Raw genomic sequence first — 17,743 nt, forward strand, 5'->3', positions numbered from 1 at the left:
ACAGGTGCGAGCCACTGCGCCCACCCAGAATTTTTTTAATAACTGAAAGAAAGAAGGAGATTAAGGAAGATGGAGACAAATATGCAGGAGAAACACCCTCTGAGGGCGATTTAACAGAGCAGCGAATGTGGAAAGGGGAAGGGGAGGTGCTTCTTGGGTGCCCAGTTTCCTTGGGAGGAACTTGGGTACGTGGTCAGGGGTTGTGGGCAGTTATTCCCCTCGCTGGCCCTCAGGGGGCTCACAGGCCAAGAGCAGCTTGGTTGTCGTACATGGGTTAGGGGAAGACGGGAGAGTTAGGGTGCATGATAAGATAGAGAGGCAATGTGCAACTGGATATTTCTATGTACTTGGCCTTTCAAAATTCAAAATTTGTTAACTCATGAATACTTGTATACTGACATAATGTACAGATGCCATTTAAGGTTGGATAGTTTTGTAATTAATGAGGCATTATGGATCTCATTGAGAAGCCAATACTGACTCTGTGAGTGAAAAAACACAAATCGTTTTTCCTCTGTTCTCACAGCACAAAAGCCAACACAGAAGACTTCTGTGACCCAACGTGTAGGGGTGTTTCCCCATACACCAAGCAGGAAATCAATTCTGCCATAGACACCAGCTGGGTGTCCTCAACTTCCATTCCATTCTGACACCATCTACCAGCAGATAATGTCAGATCCCACAGGCTGAGGGCTCAGTCCCCCAGGCTCTCCCCACCACCTTCAGATGCCAACTGCAAGTGCCAGGCTGTCTTACCTGTGCCTCTGACCAACTGGCCATAAATCCGGGATTCCAGGGTCTCCTCCTTGGGTTCAATTAATTTGCCAGAGCAGCTCACAGAACTCAGGGAAATGCTTACTTACATTTCCCAGTTTATTATAAAGGCTATTACAAAGGTTACAGATGAAGAGGTGCCTAGAGTGAGGTATGGGCAAGGGGTCCATGCCCTCCCAGGACATGCCCCACCCCCAGTAGCCTCTATATGTTCCGTTACCTAAAGGTCTCCAAACCTGGTCCTTTTGGGTTAGTTTTTTATGGAGGCTTCATTTTGTAGGCCTGATTAATTAAATCATTGGCCACTGGTGATCAACTTAACCTTCAGGCCCTCTCCTCTCCAGGGAGGTTAGGGGATGGGGCTGAAAGTCCCAACCCTCTAATCATGCCTTGTTCTTTCCAGTGACCAGCCCCATCCTGAAGCTACCTAGGGGCTGCCAGCCACCAGCTGATTCATTAGCATAAAAAAGACATCACTTTGGAGATTTTAAGAATTTTAGGAGTTGTATGCCAAAAAACGAGGTTGAACATATACTTCACAATATCACAGTGACCTTGGAGAAATGAAGCTGAAAACAGCATAGGCTGAGGCCATCCATGGTGGGGAAAGCCCAGGCTAAGTATGGGAAGAGGGAGTGAGGACAGAGGCTGAGCGGCTCTGGAGCTGAGTCAACAAACGAGCTACTAAAAATGACCAGAGATTAATGCAAGAATCAGAATCTGTGTCACAATCTCAGATCTGGCTGAAAGGCCTCGTTGGGGAAGCAGGACGAAGAGGCTAGGATGTATATGTCAGAGGTGGGTTACAAGGAGACCTCTGCCCTGCAGGGCTGACTCAGAAAAACCTAGGTTGCTGCTACTCTGAGCCCAGCCTGAGACAGAAATTTCCACTGTAGCTACCTGCAGTTGTAAATTTAGCTTACCGATCCAGAACTAGTCCTCAGTGACATTGTAAGGGTGGTTACATCTCCTTTTTGTTCTGTGAAAGGAAAATAAAAATCTCTGGGCCCCAAACTCATTAAGTCAAAGGGAAAAGCTTGGGAACTGAGTCATGCAAAGACTGCCTTCCTTTTGTTCCTAAGTAGATAGCTACAAAGATAAAAGGCCACAAACCTCCCTAGGGGACCTTCCACATGATTTGCCCATCAGGAAATTCCTTGTAGGTCCCTAGATCTTTAGCCTATAACAGTTCTGTTGAATTTCACCCTGACAATGTAAATTCACAGCTCATCTTCATAGGTAAAGGACAAAGACAGGACTAGATCCTCCCTCCACTCACTAGAGACAAATGCACGTTTGGCTGCTTCCTGTACCCTGTGATTACTTTATCTAATGTAAAACTGCAGATTCACTGAGACAAATGCATAATGGACTGGCCTTCTACCTCCTCCTTTCACATGTAAAATGTGCATTCAGTGAAAGCTGATCAAAGTCTCAAAAGAATGCAACTGCTCTCCTTTTATCTACCCGCCCATTTTTTCTTTCCTCTTTCCCCCACTGCCACTCTTTCTCCATTAAATATTGACATCTCCAGACCCTTTTTGGAAAAAGCGCAGATCACAGATGTTCCCATGGTTTTGTGTTCTTTATTCCCCCTGAGTGCGTCTTCAACCTTGGCAAAATAAACCTGAGTGCGTCTTCAACCTTGGCAAATAAACCTCTAAAATGATTGAGACTCACCTTGGTCATTTTCTTTGATTTAGAGTTCTTTTATACCTCTCATTATCCTCCCACCATTTTGGGCAAGCAGGCTCCACCGCCTTAAATTCTGTACTCTAAGGACATATTGTTTTTTTGTTTTTTTGTTTTTTTTTTTAAGACGCAGTTTCACTCTTGTTGCCCAGGCTGGAGTGCAATGGCTCGATCTCGACTCACTGCAACCTCTGCCTCCTGGGTGTCAGGCCTGTGAGCCCAAGCTAAGCCATCATATCCCCTGTGACCTGCACGTACACATCCAGATGGCCCGTTCCTGCCTTAACTGATGACATTCCACCACAAAAGAAGTGAAAATGGCTTGTTACTGCCTTAACTGATGACATTATCCTGTGAAATTCCTTCTCCTGGCTCATCCTGGCTCAAAAGCTCCCCTACTGAGCACCTTGTGACCCCCACTCCTGCCAGCCAGAGAACAACCCCCTCCCTTTACTATAATTTTCCTTTACCTACCCAAATTTCCTCTTAAAGAAGTGGCTGGAGCTGAAGGCATAGTCAGGGTACATGTACCTTTTTCTCTATCAGACCTCACAGATCAGTCAGCGTTTAGGCTGTTTCTCATCAGACCCCACTAAACATATACAGGAATTCCGATATCTAACTCTGTCCTACAATTTAACCTGGAGTGACCTAAATGTCATCCTGACTTCTACCCTCTCCCCAGATGAAAGGGAAAGAGTTTTTTCTCTAGTCCACTCTCACGCTGATAACCACCGGCTTCATGAGCCAGACCTCCAGGAAGGCATCAGAGCAGTTCCCCAAGAGGATCCCCAATGGAACTATCAGGCAGATTCCCCAGGTATAGCTAGGCGAGATTACATGATTTCCTGCCTAGTTGAAGGGCTTAAAAAGGCAGCTTACAAAGCTGTTAATTATGACAAGCTTAAAGAAACTACCCAAGGTAAAGATGAAAACCCAGCCCAGTTCATGGCCTGCTTTGTAGCAACCCTTACACACTTTACCGCCCTAGACCCAGAAGGGCCAGAAGGCCGCCTTATTCTTAATATGCATTTTATCACCCAATCCGCTCCTGACATTAGGAAAAAACTTCAAAAATTAGAATCTGGCCCTCAAACCCCACAACAGGAATTAATCAACCTTGCCTTCAAGGTGTACAATAATAGAGAGGAGGCAGCCAGACGGCAACGCATTTCTGAGTTACAATTACTTGCCTCTGCCGTGAGACAAAACCCAGCCACACCTCCAGCACACAAGAACTTCAAAATGCCTAAGCCGCACACACCTAAGCCACAGCAGTCAAGCATTCTTACAAGACTTCCTCCATCAGGATCTTGTTTCAAGTGCCAGAAATCTGGCCACTAGGCCAAGGAATGCCCACAGCCCAGGATTGCTCCCAAGCCATCTGTGCAGGGACCCACTGGAAATCAGACTGCCCAGCTCATCCAGCAGCTACTCCTAGAGCCCCTGAAGCTCTAGCCCAAGGCTCTCTGACTGACTCCTTCCTAGATCTGCTCGGCTTAGCAGCTGAAGATTGACGCTGCCTGATCGCCTCGGGAGCCCCCGGACCATCACGGATGCCAAGCTTCAGATGACTCTCACGGTGGAGGGTAAGTCCATCCCCTGTTTAATCGATACGGGGGCTACCCACTCCACATTACCTTCTTTTCAAGGGACTGTTTCCCTTGCCCCCATAACTGTTGTGGGTATTGACGGCCAAGCTTCAAAACCCCTAAAACTCCCCCACTCTGGTGCCAACTTGGACAACACTCTTTTATGCACTCTTTTTTAGTTATCCCCACCTGCCCAGTTCCCTTATTAGGCCGAGATATTTTAACCAAATTATCTGCTTTCCTGACTATTCCTGGACTACAGCTGCATCTCATTGCCACCCTTCTTCCCAACCCAAAGCCTCCTTTGCGTCTTCCTCTCGTATCCCCCGACCTTAACCCACAAGTATAGGACATCTCTACCCCCTCCCTGGCAACCAATCACATGACCATCACCATCCTAGTAAAACCTAATCACCGTTACCCTGCTCAACACCAATATCCCATCCCACAGCACTTTTTAAAAGGATTAAAGCCTATTATCACTCGCCTGTTACAGTATGGGCTTCTAAAACCTACAAACTCTCCTTACAATTCCCCCATTTTACCTGTCCAAAAACCGGACAAGTCTTACAGATTAGTTCAGGATCTGCGCCTCATCAATCAAATTGTTTTGCCATCCATCCTGTGGTGCCCAACCCGTACACTCTTTCGTTCTCAATACCTTCCTCCACAACTCACTATTCCGTTCTTGATCTTAAAGATGCTTTTTTCACTATTCCCCTGCACCCCTCGTCCCAGCCTCTCTTTGCTTTCACCTGGACTGACCCTGGCACCCATCAGTCCCAGCAGCTTACCTGGGCTGTGCTGCCGCAAGGTTTCAGGGACAGCCTTCATTACTTCAGCCAAGCTGTTTCTCATGATTTACTTTCTTTCCACTCCCCCGCTTCTCACCTTATTCAATATATTGATGACCTTCTTCTTTGTAGCCCCTCCTTTGAATCTTCTCAACAAGACACCCTTCTGCTCCTTCAGCATTTATTCTCCAAAGGATATCTGGTATCCCCCTCCAAAGCTCGAATTTCTTCTCCATCTGTTACCTACCTTGGCATAATTCTTCATAAAAACACACTGCTCTCCCTGCCAATCATGTCCTACTGATCTCTCAAACCCCAACCCCTTCTACAAAACAGCAACTCCTTTCCTTCCTAGGCATGGTTGGATACTTTCAACTTTGGATACCTGGTTTTGCCATCCTACCAAAACCATTATATAAACTCACAAAAGGAAACCTAGTTGACCCCATAGATCTTAAATCCTTTTCCCACTCCTCTTTCCGTTCCTTGAAGACAGCTTTAGAGACTGCCCCCACTCTAGCTCTCCCTGACTCATCCCAACCCTTTTCATTACACACAGCCTAAGTGCAGGGCTGTGCAGTCGGAATTCTTACACAAGGACTGGGATCACGTCCTGCAGCCTTTTTGTCCAAACAACTTGACCTCAATGTTTTAGGCTGGCCATCATGTCTCCGTGCAGCGGCTCCTGCTGCCCTAATACTTTTAGAGGCCCTCAAAATCACAAACTATGCTCAACTCACTCTCTACAGCTCTCATAACTTCCAAAATCTATTTTCTTCCTCACACCTGACCATATACTTTCTGCTCCCCAGCTCCTTCAGCTATACTCACTCTGTTGAGTCTCCCACAGTTACCATTGTTCCTAGCCTGGACTTCAATCCGGCCTCCAACATTATTCCAGATACCACACCTGACCCTCATGACTGCCTCTCTGATCCACCTGACATTCACCCCATTTCCCCATATTTCCTTCTTCCCTGTTCCTCACCCTGATCACATTTGGTTTATTGATGGCGGTTCCACCAGGCCTAATCGCCACTCACCAGCAAAGGCAGGCTATGCAATAGTATCTTCCACATCTATCATTGAGGCTACCGCTCTGCCCCCCTCCACTACCTCTCAGCAAGCCGAACTAGTTGCCTTAACTCGGGCCCTCACTCTTGCAAAGGGACTACGCATTAATATTTATACTGACTCTAAATATGCCTTCCATATTCTGCACCACCATGCAGTTATATGGGCTGAAAGAGGTTTTCTCACTACGCAAGGTCCTGCATCATTAATGCCTCTTTAATAAAAACTCTGCTCATGGCCGCTTTACTTCCAAAGGAAGCTGGAGTCATTCACTGCAAGGGGCATCAAAAGGCGTCCGATTGAGAGGTGACAGCGTGCTGGCAGTCCTTACAGCCCTCGCTCGCTCTGGGCGCCTCCTCTGCCTGGGCTCCCACTTTGGCGGCACTTGAGGAGCCCTTCAGCCCGCCGCTGCACTGTGGGAGCCCCTTTGTGGGCTGGCCAAGGCCAGAGCTGGCTCTGTCAGCTTGCGGGGAGGTGTGGAGTGAGAGGCGCGAGCGGGAACCGGGGCTGTAGGCGGCGCTTGCGGGCCAGCTAGAGTTCCAGGTGGGCGTGGGCTTGGTGGGCCCCGCACTCGGAGCAGCCAGCCGGCCCTGCCGGCCCCAGGCAATGAGGGGCTTAGCACCAGGGCCAGCGGCTGCAGAGGGTGTACTGGGTCCCCCAGCAGTGCCAACCCACCGGCGCTATGCTCGATTTCTCACCGGGCCTTAGCTACCTCCCCGCGGGGCAGGGCTGTACCTGCAGCCCACCATGCCTGAGCCTCCCACCCTCTCCATGGGCTCCTGCGCGGCCCCAGCCTCCCCGATGAGCGCCGCCCCCTGCTCCACAGCACCCAGTCCCATCAACCACCCAAGGGCTGAGGAGTGCGGGCGCAGGGCGTGGGACTGGCAGGCAGCTCTACCTGCAGCCCCGGTACAGGATCCACTGGGTGAAGCCAGCTAGGCTCCTGAGTCTGGTGGGGACGTGGAGAACCTTTATGTCTAGCCCAGGGATTGCAAATACACCAATCGGCACTCTGTATCTAGCCCAAGGTTTGTAAACACACCAATCAGCACCCTGTGTCTAGCTCACGGTTTGTGAATGCACCAATCAACACTGTATCTAGCTACTCTGGTGGGGCCTTGGAGAACCTTTGTGTCGACACTCTGTATCTAGTTAATCTGGTGGGGACGTGGAGAACCTTTGTCTAGCTCAGGGATTGTAAACGCACCAATCAGCACCCTGTCAAAACAGACCACTAGGCTCTACCAATCAGCAGGATGTGGGTGGGGCCAGATAAGAGAATAAAAGCAGGCTGCCTGAGCCAGCAGTGGTAACCCACGACAGTTCTCTTCCACGCCGTGGAAGCTTTATTTTTTCGCTCTTTGGGTCCACACTGTTTTTATTGAGCTGTAACACCATGAAGGTTTGTAGCTTCACTTAAGCCAGCGTAGACCATGAGCCCCCTGGGAGGAACAAACAACTCTGGATGCGCTGCCTTAAAGAGTTCTTAACACTCACTGTGAAGGTCTGCAGCTTCACTCCTGAGCTAGTGAGACGACGAACACATCCGTAACAGCAGAAACAAACTCTGGATGCACCACCTTAAGAGCTGTACCACTCACTTCGAGGGTCTGTGGCTTCATTCTTGAAGTCAGTGAGACCAAGAATCCACCAATTCCAGACACATAGATCCTATTGCTCTAGGCAACGCTTATGCTGATGAGGTGGCTAGACAAGCAGCTAGCATTCCAACTTCTGTCTGTCATGGCCAGTTTTTCCCCCTACACGTTGGTCACTCCCACTTACTCCCCCGCTGAAACTTCCACCATATCAATCTCTTCCCACACAAGGCAAATGGTTCTTAGGCCAAGGAAAATATCTCCTTCCAGCCTTACAGGCCCATTCTATTCTGTCATCATTTCATAACCTTCCATGTAGGTTACAAGCCGCTAGCCCGTCTCTCAGAACCTCTCGTTTCCTTTCCATCATGGAAATCTATCCTCAAGGAAATAACTTCTCAGTGTTCTATCTGCTATTCTACTCAGGGATTGTTCAGGCCCCCTCCCTTCCCTACACATCAAGCTCGGGGATTTGCCCCTGCCCAGGACTGGCAAATTGACTTTACTCACATACCCTGAGTCAGAAAACTAAAATACCTCTTGGTCTGGGTAGACACTTTCACTGGATGGGTAGAAGCCTTTCCCACAGGGTCTGAGAAGGCCACCGCGGTCATTTCTTCCCTTCTGTCAGACATAATTCCTCGGTTTGGCCTTCCCACCTCTATACAGTCTGATAACGGACCAGCCTTTATTAGTCAAATCACCCAAGCAGGTTTTCAGGCTCTTAGTATTCAGTGAAACCTTCGTATCCGTCACCGTCCTCAATCTTCAGGAAAGGTAGAACAGACTAATGGTCTTTTAAAAACAGAACTCACCAAGCTCAGCCACCAACTTAAAAAGGACTGGACAATACTTTCACCACTTTCCCTTCTCAGAAGTCAGACCTGTCCTCGGAATGCTACAGGGTACAGCACATTTAAGCTCCTGTATAGACGCTCCTTTTTATTAGGCCCCAGTCTCATTCCAGACACCAGACCAACTTGGACTGCACCCCAAAAAACTTGTCATCCCTACTATCTTCTGTCTAGTCATACTCCTATTCACCGTTCTCAACTACTCATAAATGCTCTGCTCTTGTTTACACTGCCCTTTTTCACTGTTTCTCCAAGCCATCACAGCTGATATCTCCTGGTGCTATCCCGAAACTGCCACTCTTAACTCCCTGTTAAAGTAAATAAATAATCTTTGCTGGCAGGACTATGCTGAACCTCCTTAGGCACTCTCTAATTGGATGTCCAGGGTCCTCCCAATTCTTAGTCCTTTAATACCTGTTTTTCTCCTTCTTATTCCGTTCTTTTTTCAATTCATATAAAACCGTATCCAGGCCATCACCAATAATTCTATACGACAAATGTTTCTTCTAACAACCACACAATATCACCCCTTACCACAAAATCTTCCTTCAGCTTAATCTCTCCCATGCTAGGTTCCCACGCCACCCCTAATCCCAGCCCTGAGAAACATCGCCCATTATCTCTCCATACCACCCCCAAAAATTTTCACCACCCCAACACTTTGCCACTATTTCATTTTATTTTTCTTATTAATATAAGAAGACAGGAATGTCAGGCCTCTGAGCCCAAGCTAAGCCATCATATATTCTGTGACCTGCACATACACATCCAGATGGCCGGTTCCTGCCTTAACTGATGACATTCCACCACAAAAGAAGTGAAAATGGCCTGTTCCTGCCTTAACTCATGACATTATCTTGTGAAATTCCTTCTCCTGGCTCATCCTGGCTCAAAAGCTCCCCCACTGAGCACCTTGTGACCCCCACTCCTGCCCACCAGAGAACAACACCCTTTGACTATAATTTTCCTTTACCTACCCAAATCCTATAAAACGGCCCCACCCCTATCTCCCTTTGCTGACTCACTTTTCGGACTCAGCCCGCCTGCACCCAGATGAAATAAACAACCTTGTTGCTCACACAAAGCCTGTTTGGTGGTCTCTTCACACGGACGCGAGTGAAACTGGGTTCAAGCGATTCTCCTGCCCCAGCCTCCCAAGTAGCCGGGATTACAGGCATGCACCACCATGCCTGGCTAATTTTGTATTTTTCGTAGAGATGGAGTTTCACCATATTGGCCAGGCTGGTCTTGAACTCCTGACCTCAGATGATCCGCCCACCTCAGCCTTCCAAAGTGCTGGGATTACAGGTGTGAGCCACTGCGCCCAGCTTATAATTTTTTTTTTTTTTTTTTTTTAAGAGACAGTGCCCTGCTCTGTTATCCAGGAAGGAGTGTGGTGGCATGATCATGGATTACTGCAACTTTGAACTCCTGGGCTCAAGTGATCCTCCTGCCTCAGTCTCCCAAAGTGCTGGGATTACAGGTGTGAGCCACTGCACCTAGCCCCAAGGAAATAATTTAATACCAATCAATGAAGGCCTTTTTCTGATGAAAAGCTCTTTCAAGAATGTTTACGTGGAGCCACAGACTTTTCCTGGTTGTAAAGAACCTAAAGGTTGTATATTTAAAAATTAAAAGATATTCCAGCTGGGTGTGGTGGCTCATGCCTGTAATGCCAGCACTTTGGAAGGCCGAGGCGGGTGGATCATGAGGTCAGAAGATCGAGACCATCCTGGCTAACACAGTGAAACCCCATCTCCACTAAAAATACAAAAAATTAGCCAGGTGTGGTGGCGGGTGTCTGTAGTCCCAGCTACTCAGGAGGCTGAGTCAGGAGAATGGCGTGAACCTGGGAGGCGGAGCTTGCTGTGAGCCAAGATCGCGCCACTGCATTCCAGCCTGGGCGACAGATCGAGACTCAGTCTCGGAAAAAAAAAAAAAAAAAAAAATTAAAAGATAGTCCAAGATTATCATGGCTTCTCTATGCAGAATCCCTGATGGGAAGTTATACAGCCTATCCCTGAACACCTCCCTTGACAAGGTGCTCCTACAGAGCCAGTGATTGCACACATATGTGACAAGTAATTTACATGTGCATTTCATTTAATCCTCATAATAATTGCCTTCTGAAGTGGCTACCATGATCACCATTTTTTGGACAAAGAAGGTATGGCTCAGAGAGATTAAAATCCTTGCCCAAGGCCATACAACTAGGAAGGAAAAAAAATAACTTACTTTAGGAACACAGGTTCATCTGTTCCAGAGGCTGTGCTGTTTCCACTCTGGGGTAGGCAGGACTCTAAGGTGGCCCAAGATTCACCTGGCTCGTGGTATATACTGTTGGCAAAATGAGTCAAACTCTGTAAAATATTCGAAGAGGTTTATTCTGAGCCAAATATGAGTGACTAATGGCCCATGATACCGTCCTCAGGAGGTCTTGAGAACATGGGCCCAAGGTGGTCAGGGTCCAGTTTGCTTTTATACATTTTAGGGACACAGAAGGCGTCGATCAATACATATAAGATATACATTGGTTTGGTCTGGAAGGGTAGGACAACTGGAAGGAGGGGGGCTTCCAAGTCATAGATAGATTCAAAGGTTTTCTGACTGACAATATGTAGAAAGAGTTATCAATAGAATGCCTGGGTTATGATAAGGGATTGTGGAGACCAAGGTTTTGTCATGCAGATGAAGCCTTCAGGTAGCAGGCTTCAGAGAGAATAGATTGTAAACGTTTCTCATCAGACTTTAAGAGTCTGTTCTATCAGCATTTCCAAACGGGAGGAGGGAATGCAGAGACATGTCCAGCTCCCACTTCCCATCATTGCCTGAATGAGTTTTTCAGGTTAACTTTGAATGACCTTGGCTGAGAGGAGGGTTCCATTCAGATGGTTGGGGGGGCCTTAGAATTTTATTTTTGTTTTACAACACTCACCTTTTCCCGGTTGTTCAATCAAGCATAAATCTAGGTACTGCTGTGACAGGATTTTGCAGGTGCAATTAAGTTTCCAAGTCAGTTGACCTTAAGATAGAGAGATGATCTCATTGGCCTCCCCTAATCACATGAGCCCTTTTGAAGAAGAAGATTTCTCCACCCATTGACAGACAGGATATTCGAGTTTGGAAGCAGTAGAGACCCCCTCCTGATGACCTTGAAGGATCCGATAGCCTGCTATGGAGAGGGCCATGTGGCAGGGAACAGAAGGCAGCCCCCAGGAGCAGGAAGCAGCCTCTGCTCAAAGGCCAGCAAGAAAACGGGAACCTCGGCCTATGACCGTGAGGACCTGGCCCCTGCTGAGCACGTGAGCAAGCATGGGAGAGGCCCCTGAGCTCCTGATGAGTGCAGCCCTCCCAGACCTGCTGGACTCCCAAGCAACGGAAACTGTAAGGTGATCCTGGTGCGTTAAGCTGCTGACTTTGTGGTAACCTGTTAAAATAGCAAACTGGTAGACGAGTTCTTCTTTGATGAGTGATGTAGGTCAGGTGCCCCAAAGCACGCCTTGAGGCTAGGATCTGAGTGGAAGGTGATGAGGGCAGTGTCTGTCCTGGGAAGCGTTGGAAGTGCTGTGGGGAACAGAGCCAGGAAAGAGAAGGAAGCCAAGGGGCTGCCTCAGAACAGGTCACTGCTGCAGGTGGCAAGGGTTCAACCCAGGGGCATCTGTCAGAGACCAGGCAGAACTTCACTCTGCGTCGCCCCACCTGAGTGGAGGGGAGCTGGCTACTTAGCCTCCAGAAAGAGGTTTACCTTGCTGCACAAGTGACCCCTGGGGCAGGTCACAGTTTTTTTCAGTAAGAAGCCATCAGCAGGTCTGAGAAAAACAATGGCCAAAGGCACAGGGTGGGTCCAACAGTGTCTGCTACAAAGAATTTTGATGGGAAAGTCCTTGTATCCACTGACAGTGGCCTTCAGCCATTGGACCTGCTGTGTCCCCTTAGCTGACCCGTCTGTCTTCTGCAGCTGCCATTCAGATTCCTGTCATTTTCATGCTGCAGCAGTGCTCTCCTCACTAGCTAAGCATTTCTAGTCCCTCTCTGGACCCACCATGAAGCAGGATTTTAAATACTTTGTAATCTAGAGAGGCACTGGACTCAGAGCTGAATGCAAAGGCCAGAGATGCTCTCACTCATTTAGTTGTTCTTGTCTGAAGGCTGGGATGATGCAGGTCTGATTACGTCACCGCTGGAGAGCCTCATCACACTGGTGACTCACAGGAAGCTGTCCTGGTTCTTTGTGCAGCTGCTGAAGAACATTTCACTTTCCCCGCCCCACTCCTCTCAGTGTATGGATGCTAGGCAAGGGCATGTCACCTGCGGGGTGAGCTCGGGCACCATGAGCGCCCGGTACTGCTGGCTGCCCCAGCTGGTCAGGGGCGCGAAGCCGGGCATGAAGAAGTGCAGGCGAGGGAAGGGCACCATGTTCACCGCCAGCTTGCGCAGGTCTACGTTCAGCTGGCCCGGGAAGCGCAGGCAGGTGGTGACCCCGCTCATGGTGGCCGACACCAGGTGGTTGAGGTCCCGTAGGTGGGGGTGGTCAGCTTCAGGGTGCGGAAGCAGATGTCATACAGGGCCTCGTTGTCAATGCAGTAGGTTTCATCTGTGTTTTCCACCAGCTGGTGGACCGAGAGGGTGGCGTTGTAGGGCTCCACCACCGTGTCTGACACCTTGGGTGAGGGCATGACGCTGAAGGAGTTCATGATGCGGTCTGGGTACTCTTCCCGGATCTTGCTGATGAGCAGGGTGCCCATCCCGGACCCCGTGCCGCCCCCCAGAGAGTGGGTCAGCTGGAAGCCCTGGAGACAGTCACAGCTCTCTGACTCCTTCCTCACCACATCCAGGACCGAGTCGACCAGCTCGGCTCCCTCTGTGTAGTGGCCCTTGGCCCAGTTATTCCCGGCTCCGCTCTGGCCTGCCTAAAACATCTGTCATTTTGACTATGGAGGAGGAGGTAGGACTGGTCTCAAACTGGCAGATTCTTCTCTTTTGAATACTCTTCTTTTACCTAAAGAAATATTTTTCTTCTTCTTTTTTGTTTTTTTGAGATGGAGTCGTGCTCTGTCGCCCAGGCTGGAGTGCAGCATCTCCATCCCGGCTCCCTGCAACCTCTGCCTCCCAGGCTCAAGCAATTCTCCTGCCTCAGCCTCCCTAGTAGCTGGGATTACAGGCACCTGCCACCATGCCCAGCTAATTTTTATATTGTTAGTAGAGACAGAGTTTCACCATGTTGGCCAGGCTGGTCCCAAACTCCTGACCTCAGGTGATTCACCCACCTCGGCCTCCCAAAGTGCTGGGATTACAGGTGTGAGCTACTGCACCTGGCCAGAAATATTTTTCTATGTTAGTGACCCTCAAAAACCCTCGGGATCATAATAAAGTTAGAATTAAGTTTAGCAAATCTGAGGCCATTGACTGAGGAAGAGGATAGGGTTAGAAAACTTAATTGGTTTTGAAATACATACATTTATAAGAGGCATTCTCTTTATACTCAAGTACAATTAAACAGGCAAGGTGAAGGCAGTGTGACCAGGAGAGAAGTTGGCCTCAGCATCTGTCTAGCTCTGGTCATAACCTGTGCTTTTGGCTCCTGGCTCTTTATGTGTGTTTGTATGTATGTATGTATGTATGTATGTATGTATTTTTGAGACAGAGTCTCGCTCTGTCGCCCATACTGGAGTGCAGTGGCGCAGTGGCACGATCTCAGCTCACTGCAAGCTCCGCCTCCCGGGTTCACGCCATTCTCCTGCCTCAGCCTCCCGAGTAGGTGGGGATACAGGCACCCGCCACCACGCCCAGCTAATTTTTTGTATTTTTTGTAGAGATGGGGTTTCACCGTATTAGCCAAGATGGTCTCAATCTTCTGACCTTGTGATCCACCCGCCTCGGCCTCCCAAGGCCCCTGGCTCTTTGAAGTCCTTTCAAGTTGCCTATAGCTATGAAGCCTGGCTTGAAGCTTTTCCTTGCTCTTTCTTCCTTCCAGTCTGAGGCTGCTCTGCAATGGGAGGGCTGCAGCAGCCCTCTGCAGGCTGGCGTTGATCTGTGAGCCATGACCGCCCATGGACTGCATGGAGCTAGGCCAGGACTCAGGGCTGCCGTGGACACAGTGTCACCTTGGCACTGAACACTAAGAACTGTGCTTCGCAGGGCTGTTAGGAAGAAGGTGTGTCATTTGGCCAGTTCCCAGTGATCATGACTACATACCGAACACGAAGTTGTCTGGCCTGTAGATCTGGCCGAAGGGTCCAGACCTGATGGAGTCTGTAGTTCCAGGCTCCAGATCCACCAGGATGGCCCAAGGTACATATTTGTTACCTGCCGGGAATGAGAACTGACTTAGACCTGGGCTCCGGGAGAGAGTCAGAGTAGCATTCAATTCCAGTATCTGAGACAAAAGGAAAAGAGGATGTTTTCTGCTTTTAAGAAAAAGGAGGTCCTGGCCGGGTGCGGTGGCTCACGCCTATAATCCCAGCACTTTAGGAGGCCAAGGCGGACAGATCACAAGGTTAGGAGATCGAGACCATCCTGGCTAACACGGTGAAACCCCGTGTCTACTAAAAATACAAAAAATTAGCTGGGTGTGGTGGCAGGCACCTGTAGTCCCAGCTACTCGGGAGGCTGAGGCAGGAGAATGGCGTGAACCTGGGAGGTGGAGCTTGCAGTGAGCCGAGATCGTGCCACTGCACTCCAGCCTGGGCGACAGAGCGAGAAAACAGGCAGGAATCTTAGGAACCAATGAAGCGTGTTTTTCCAGTAGTTGGCATTTGAAATGAATATGCAAGAAGCATGCCTTTGTCACGTGCATGTTCCTGGGACGTTTCATCTCCCACATCATGGAAAGCAAGGATTCCTGGGCACACACATCCCGCTACTCACCAGCAGCCTCATTGTAGTACACGTTGATTCTCTCCAGCTGCAAGTCACTGTCTCCATGGTAACTGCCTGTGGGGTCGATCCCATGCTCATCGCTGATGACCTCCCAAAACTGAAATGAAAAAAGAACCACACCATGGCTCTGCATCCTGCATGTCACTAAGGATGGCCTTGTCCTCCTCCCATGTCCTTGGAACAGGGGCTTTTGTGGTCAGACAGTTAGTAAGTGCTAGACAGAGAGCAAAGAGCTGCACCCCCTATTTCCTGCAGCAGCCGCTGTGAGGGGCTTGAAAATCCGCAGAGCATCGGCCATATTATGGGGATAGACTGAAAGCTGGGAGGGGCCCTGGAGGAGGAGGGGACACAGCAGATGCCCTTCTAGGGAAGGGTGGAGAGTAGAGAAGTGGGAAGGGGTACAGGGAGGCTGTGTCACCCCAGGCAGGGCTGAATGCCATTGCATCCGGGATGATTGATGGGTCGTGGCAGGACCAAGGACAGGGGGACCCACTCTGTGGCTGCCTCCAGGGATCAAGCTCTCTTGGCACAGATCCCAGGCACTCCTGCAACAGTGCAGGTTTAAGCCACCGATCTACATGCTGGCACTGACCACCGGAGGGACTGGGCGAAGGGCAGCAGGAGCCTGGGAGGGCACCTGGGCGGCAGTGGAAGGAGCTGGCCATCGTGAGGGCGCTGGCTGCATTGTGAATTTGCAGTAGGGAGGGGGTGAGGGAGTTGGGTGGGCAACATGGCGGTTCTCAAAGAGACCACGTCCTTGTACAGGTGCCCACCCCGACCCATGCACCAGACCCGCTGCTGCCTCCCCTGCTGGGGTTTGTAATATAATTATAGCCTCCACCCAGTGCTGTCACCTGCTGCCTTGGGGGTGGGCAGCAAGAGCATCATGGTATATGTCATCATGTCTAGACAGTGCCTGAGCAGGGCAATTTATCTGACACCCTCGCCTGTGGGCATCAGATGACCCTATGGACAGATAAACACAAATCCAAGCTGAGAGTAATGGCACCTGACTGGACTTGCAACTCTTCAGGAGGGTGAAATGGGAGAGTTGCTTGAGCCCAGGAGTTCAAATCTAGCCTGGGCAACACGGTGAGACCCTGTCTCTTAAAAAAATGGAAATCCAGACTTAGATAAAAAGAAACTAGGGTGGGCGCGGTGGGTCACGCCTGTAATCCCAGCATTTTGGGAGGCCAAGGCAGGAGGATCACCTGAGGTCGGGAGTTTGAGACCAGCCTGACCAACATGGAGAAACCCCGTCTCTACTAAAAATACAAAATTAGCTGAGTGTGGTGGCGCATGCTTGTAATCCCAGCTACTCAGGAGGCTGAGGCAGAGAATCACTTGAACCCGGGAGGCGGAGATTGTGGTGAGCCGAGATCACACCATTGCACTGCAGCCTGGGCAACAAGAGCAAAACTCTGTCTCAAAAAAAAAAAAAGAAAAGAAAAGAAAAGAAAAGGAAAAAAGAAACTAATCAAAAAGCCTATTGAAATAAAGAGAATGCTCTGGTTTTATTAACCTGTGTCAATCCAAAATCAACTAGATAAAGCTTTTCTTTAGTAGGGTGGGGTATACAGGACTTGCAGAAGCTTTGTTATGGAGGAGGGCAAGTGGATGGGTAGACAGGTGGCAAAATCAGGTCTTTTCAACAGGAAATATTTTCCTCTACACTAAGCTGATTGTGCAACTGAGCCTTTCAGGAAGACAGTGCACCTCTGAGTGCTTGCGTGAAAGGCAACATTTAGGGATTTATGGGTAAAAGCCCAATTGAAGTTTGGTCAAGCCAAAGTCGTTGGTAAAAAATTGGCAACTGTGAGCCTGTGGTTATTCTCTCATTGTTTCTGACACACAAAATCTGTCCTTCAATGCTATTAGGGATGGAATAGCCTTCACTGTATTCAATGGTATTAGGGATGGAATAACCTTCACTGTATTCAATGCTGTTAGGGATGGAATAGCCTTCACTGTATTCAATGCTACTAGGGATGGAATAACCTTCACTGTATTCAATGCTATTAGGGATGGAATAACCTTCACTGTATTCAATGCTATTAGGGATGGAATAACCTTCACTGTATTCAATGCTATTAGGGATGGAATAGCTGTCACTGTATTCAATGCTGCTAGGGATGGAATAGCCTTCACTGTATTCAATGCTACTAGGGATGGAATAGCCTTCACTGTATTCAATGCTACTAGGGATGGAATAACCTTCACTGTATTCAATGCTATTAGGGATGGAAAAACCTTCACTGTATTCAATGCTATTAGGGATGGAATAGCTGTCACTGTATTCAATGCTGCTAGGGATGGAATAGCCTTCACTGTATTCAATGCTACTAGGGATGGAATAACCTTCACTGTATTCAGTGCTATTAGGGATGGAATAGCCGTCACTGTATTCAATGCTATTAGGGATGGAATAGCTGTCACTGTATTCAATGCTATTAGGGATGGAATAGCTGTCACTGTATTCAATGCTG

At 48.9% G+C, this 17,743-nt stretch overlaps 1 pseudogene, besides 8 other annotated features; it reads right to left on the reverse strand.

Moving 5' to 3' along the window:
- Positions 1,381–1,979: an enhancer, noted in NCBI's record as "OCT4-NANOG-H3K27ac-H3K4me1 hESC enhancer chr6:3165973-3166571 (GRCh37/hg19 assembly coordinates)". NCBI's record gives its function as "activates a minimal SCP1, AML or CMV promoter by ChIP-STARR-seq in primed H9 embryonic stem cells {active_cell/tissue: H9 hESC(primed)}" and the evidence as "EXISTENCE:reporter gene assay evidence [ECO:0000049][PMID:30033119]".
- Positions 1,381–2,579: a biological region, named in NCBI's record as "hESC enhancers GRCh37_chr6:3165973-3166571 and GRCh37_chr6:3166572-3167171".
- Positions 1,937–2,231: a silencer, noted in NCBI's record as "tiled region #12208; HepG2 Repressive non-DNase unmatched - State 4:PromP". NCBI's record gives its function as "represses a minimal TATA promoter and a strong SV40 promoter by Sharpr-MPRA in HepG2 cells {active_cell/tissue: HepG2}" and the evidence as "EXISTENCE:reporter gene assay evidence [ECO:0000049][PMID:27701403]".
- Positions 1,980–2,579: an enhancer, noted in NCBI's record as "OCT4-NANOG-H3K27ac hESC enhancer chr6:3166572-3167171 (GRCh37/hg19 assembly coordinates)". NCBI's record gives its function as "activates a minimal SCP1, AML or CMV promoter by ChIP-STARR-seq in primed H9 embryonic stem cells {active_cell/tissue: H9 hESC(primed)}" and the evidence as "EXISTENCE:reporter gene assay evidence [ECO:0000049][PMID:30033119]".
- Positions 2,580–3,178: an enhancer, noted in NCBI's record as "OCT4-NANOG-H3K27ac hESC enhancer chr6:3167172-3167770 (GRCh37/hg19 assembly coordinates)". NCBI's record gives its function as "activates a minimal SCP1, AML or CMV promoter by ChIP-STARR-seq in naive H9 embryonic stem cells {active_cell/tissue: H9 hESC(naive)}" and the evidence as "EXISTENCE:reporter gene assay evidence [ECO:0000049][PMID:30033119]".
- Positions 3,778–4,375: an enhancer, noted in NCBI's record as "H3K27ac hESC enhancer chr6:3168370-3168967 (GRCh37/hg19 assembly coordinates)". NCBI's record gives its function as "activates a minimal SCP1, AML or CMV promoter by ChIP-STARR-seq in primed H9 embryonic stem cells {active_cell/tissue: H9 hESC(primed)}" and the evidence as "EXISTENCE:reporter gene assay evidence [ECO:0000049][PMID:30033119]".
- TUBB2BP1 (tubulin beta 2B class IIb pseudogene 1) lies at positions 12,684–15,356 on the reverse strand (annotated as a pseudogene).
- Positions 12,913–13,433: an enhancer, noted in NCBI's record as "H3K27ac-H3K4me1 hESC enhancer chr6:3177505-3178025 (GRCh37/hg19 assembly coordinates)". NCBI's record gives its function as "activates a minimal SCP1, AML or CMV promoter by ChIP-STARR-seq in naive H9 embryonic stem cells {active_cell/tissue: H9 hESC(naive)}" and the evidence as "EXISTENCE:reporter gene assay evidence [ECO:0000049][PMID:30033119]".
- Positions 14,373–14,872: an enhancer, noted in NCBI's record as "H3K4me1 hESC enhancer chr6:3178965-3179464 (GRCh37/hg19 assembly coordinates)". NCBI's record gives its function as "activates a minimal SCP1, AML or CMV promoter by ChIP-STARR-seq in primed H9 embryonic stem cells {active_cell/tissue: H9 hESC(primed)}" and the evidence as "EXISTENCE:reporter gene assay evidence [ECO:0000049][PMID:30033119]".

This window comes from Homo sapiens, chromosome 6 (genome assembly GCF_000001405.40).
Source record: "Homo sapiens chromosome 6, GRCh38.p14 Primary Assembly".
NCBI classification, from domain to species: domain Eukaryota; kingdom Metazoa; phylum Chordata; class Mammalia; order Primates; family Hominidae; genus Homo; species Homo sapiens.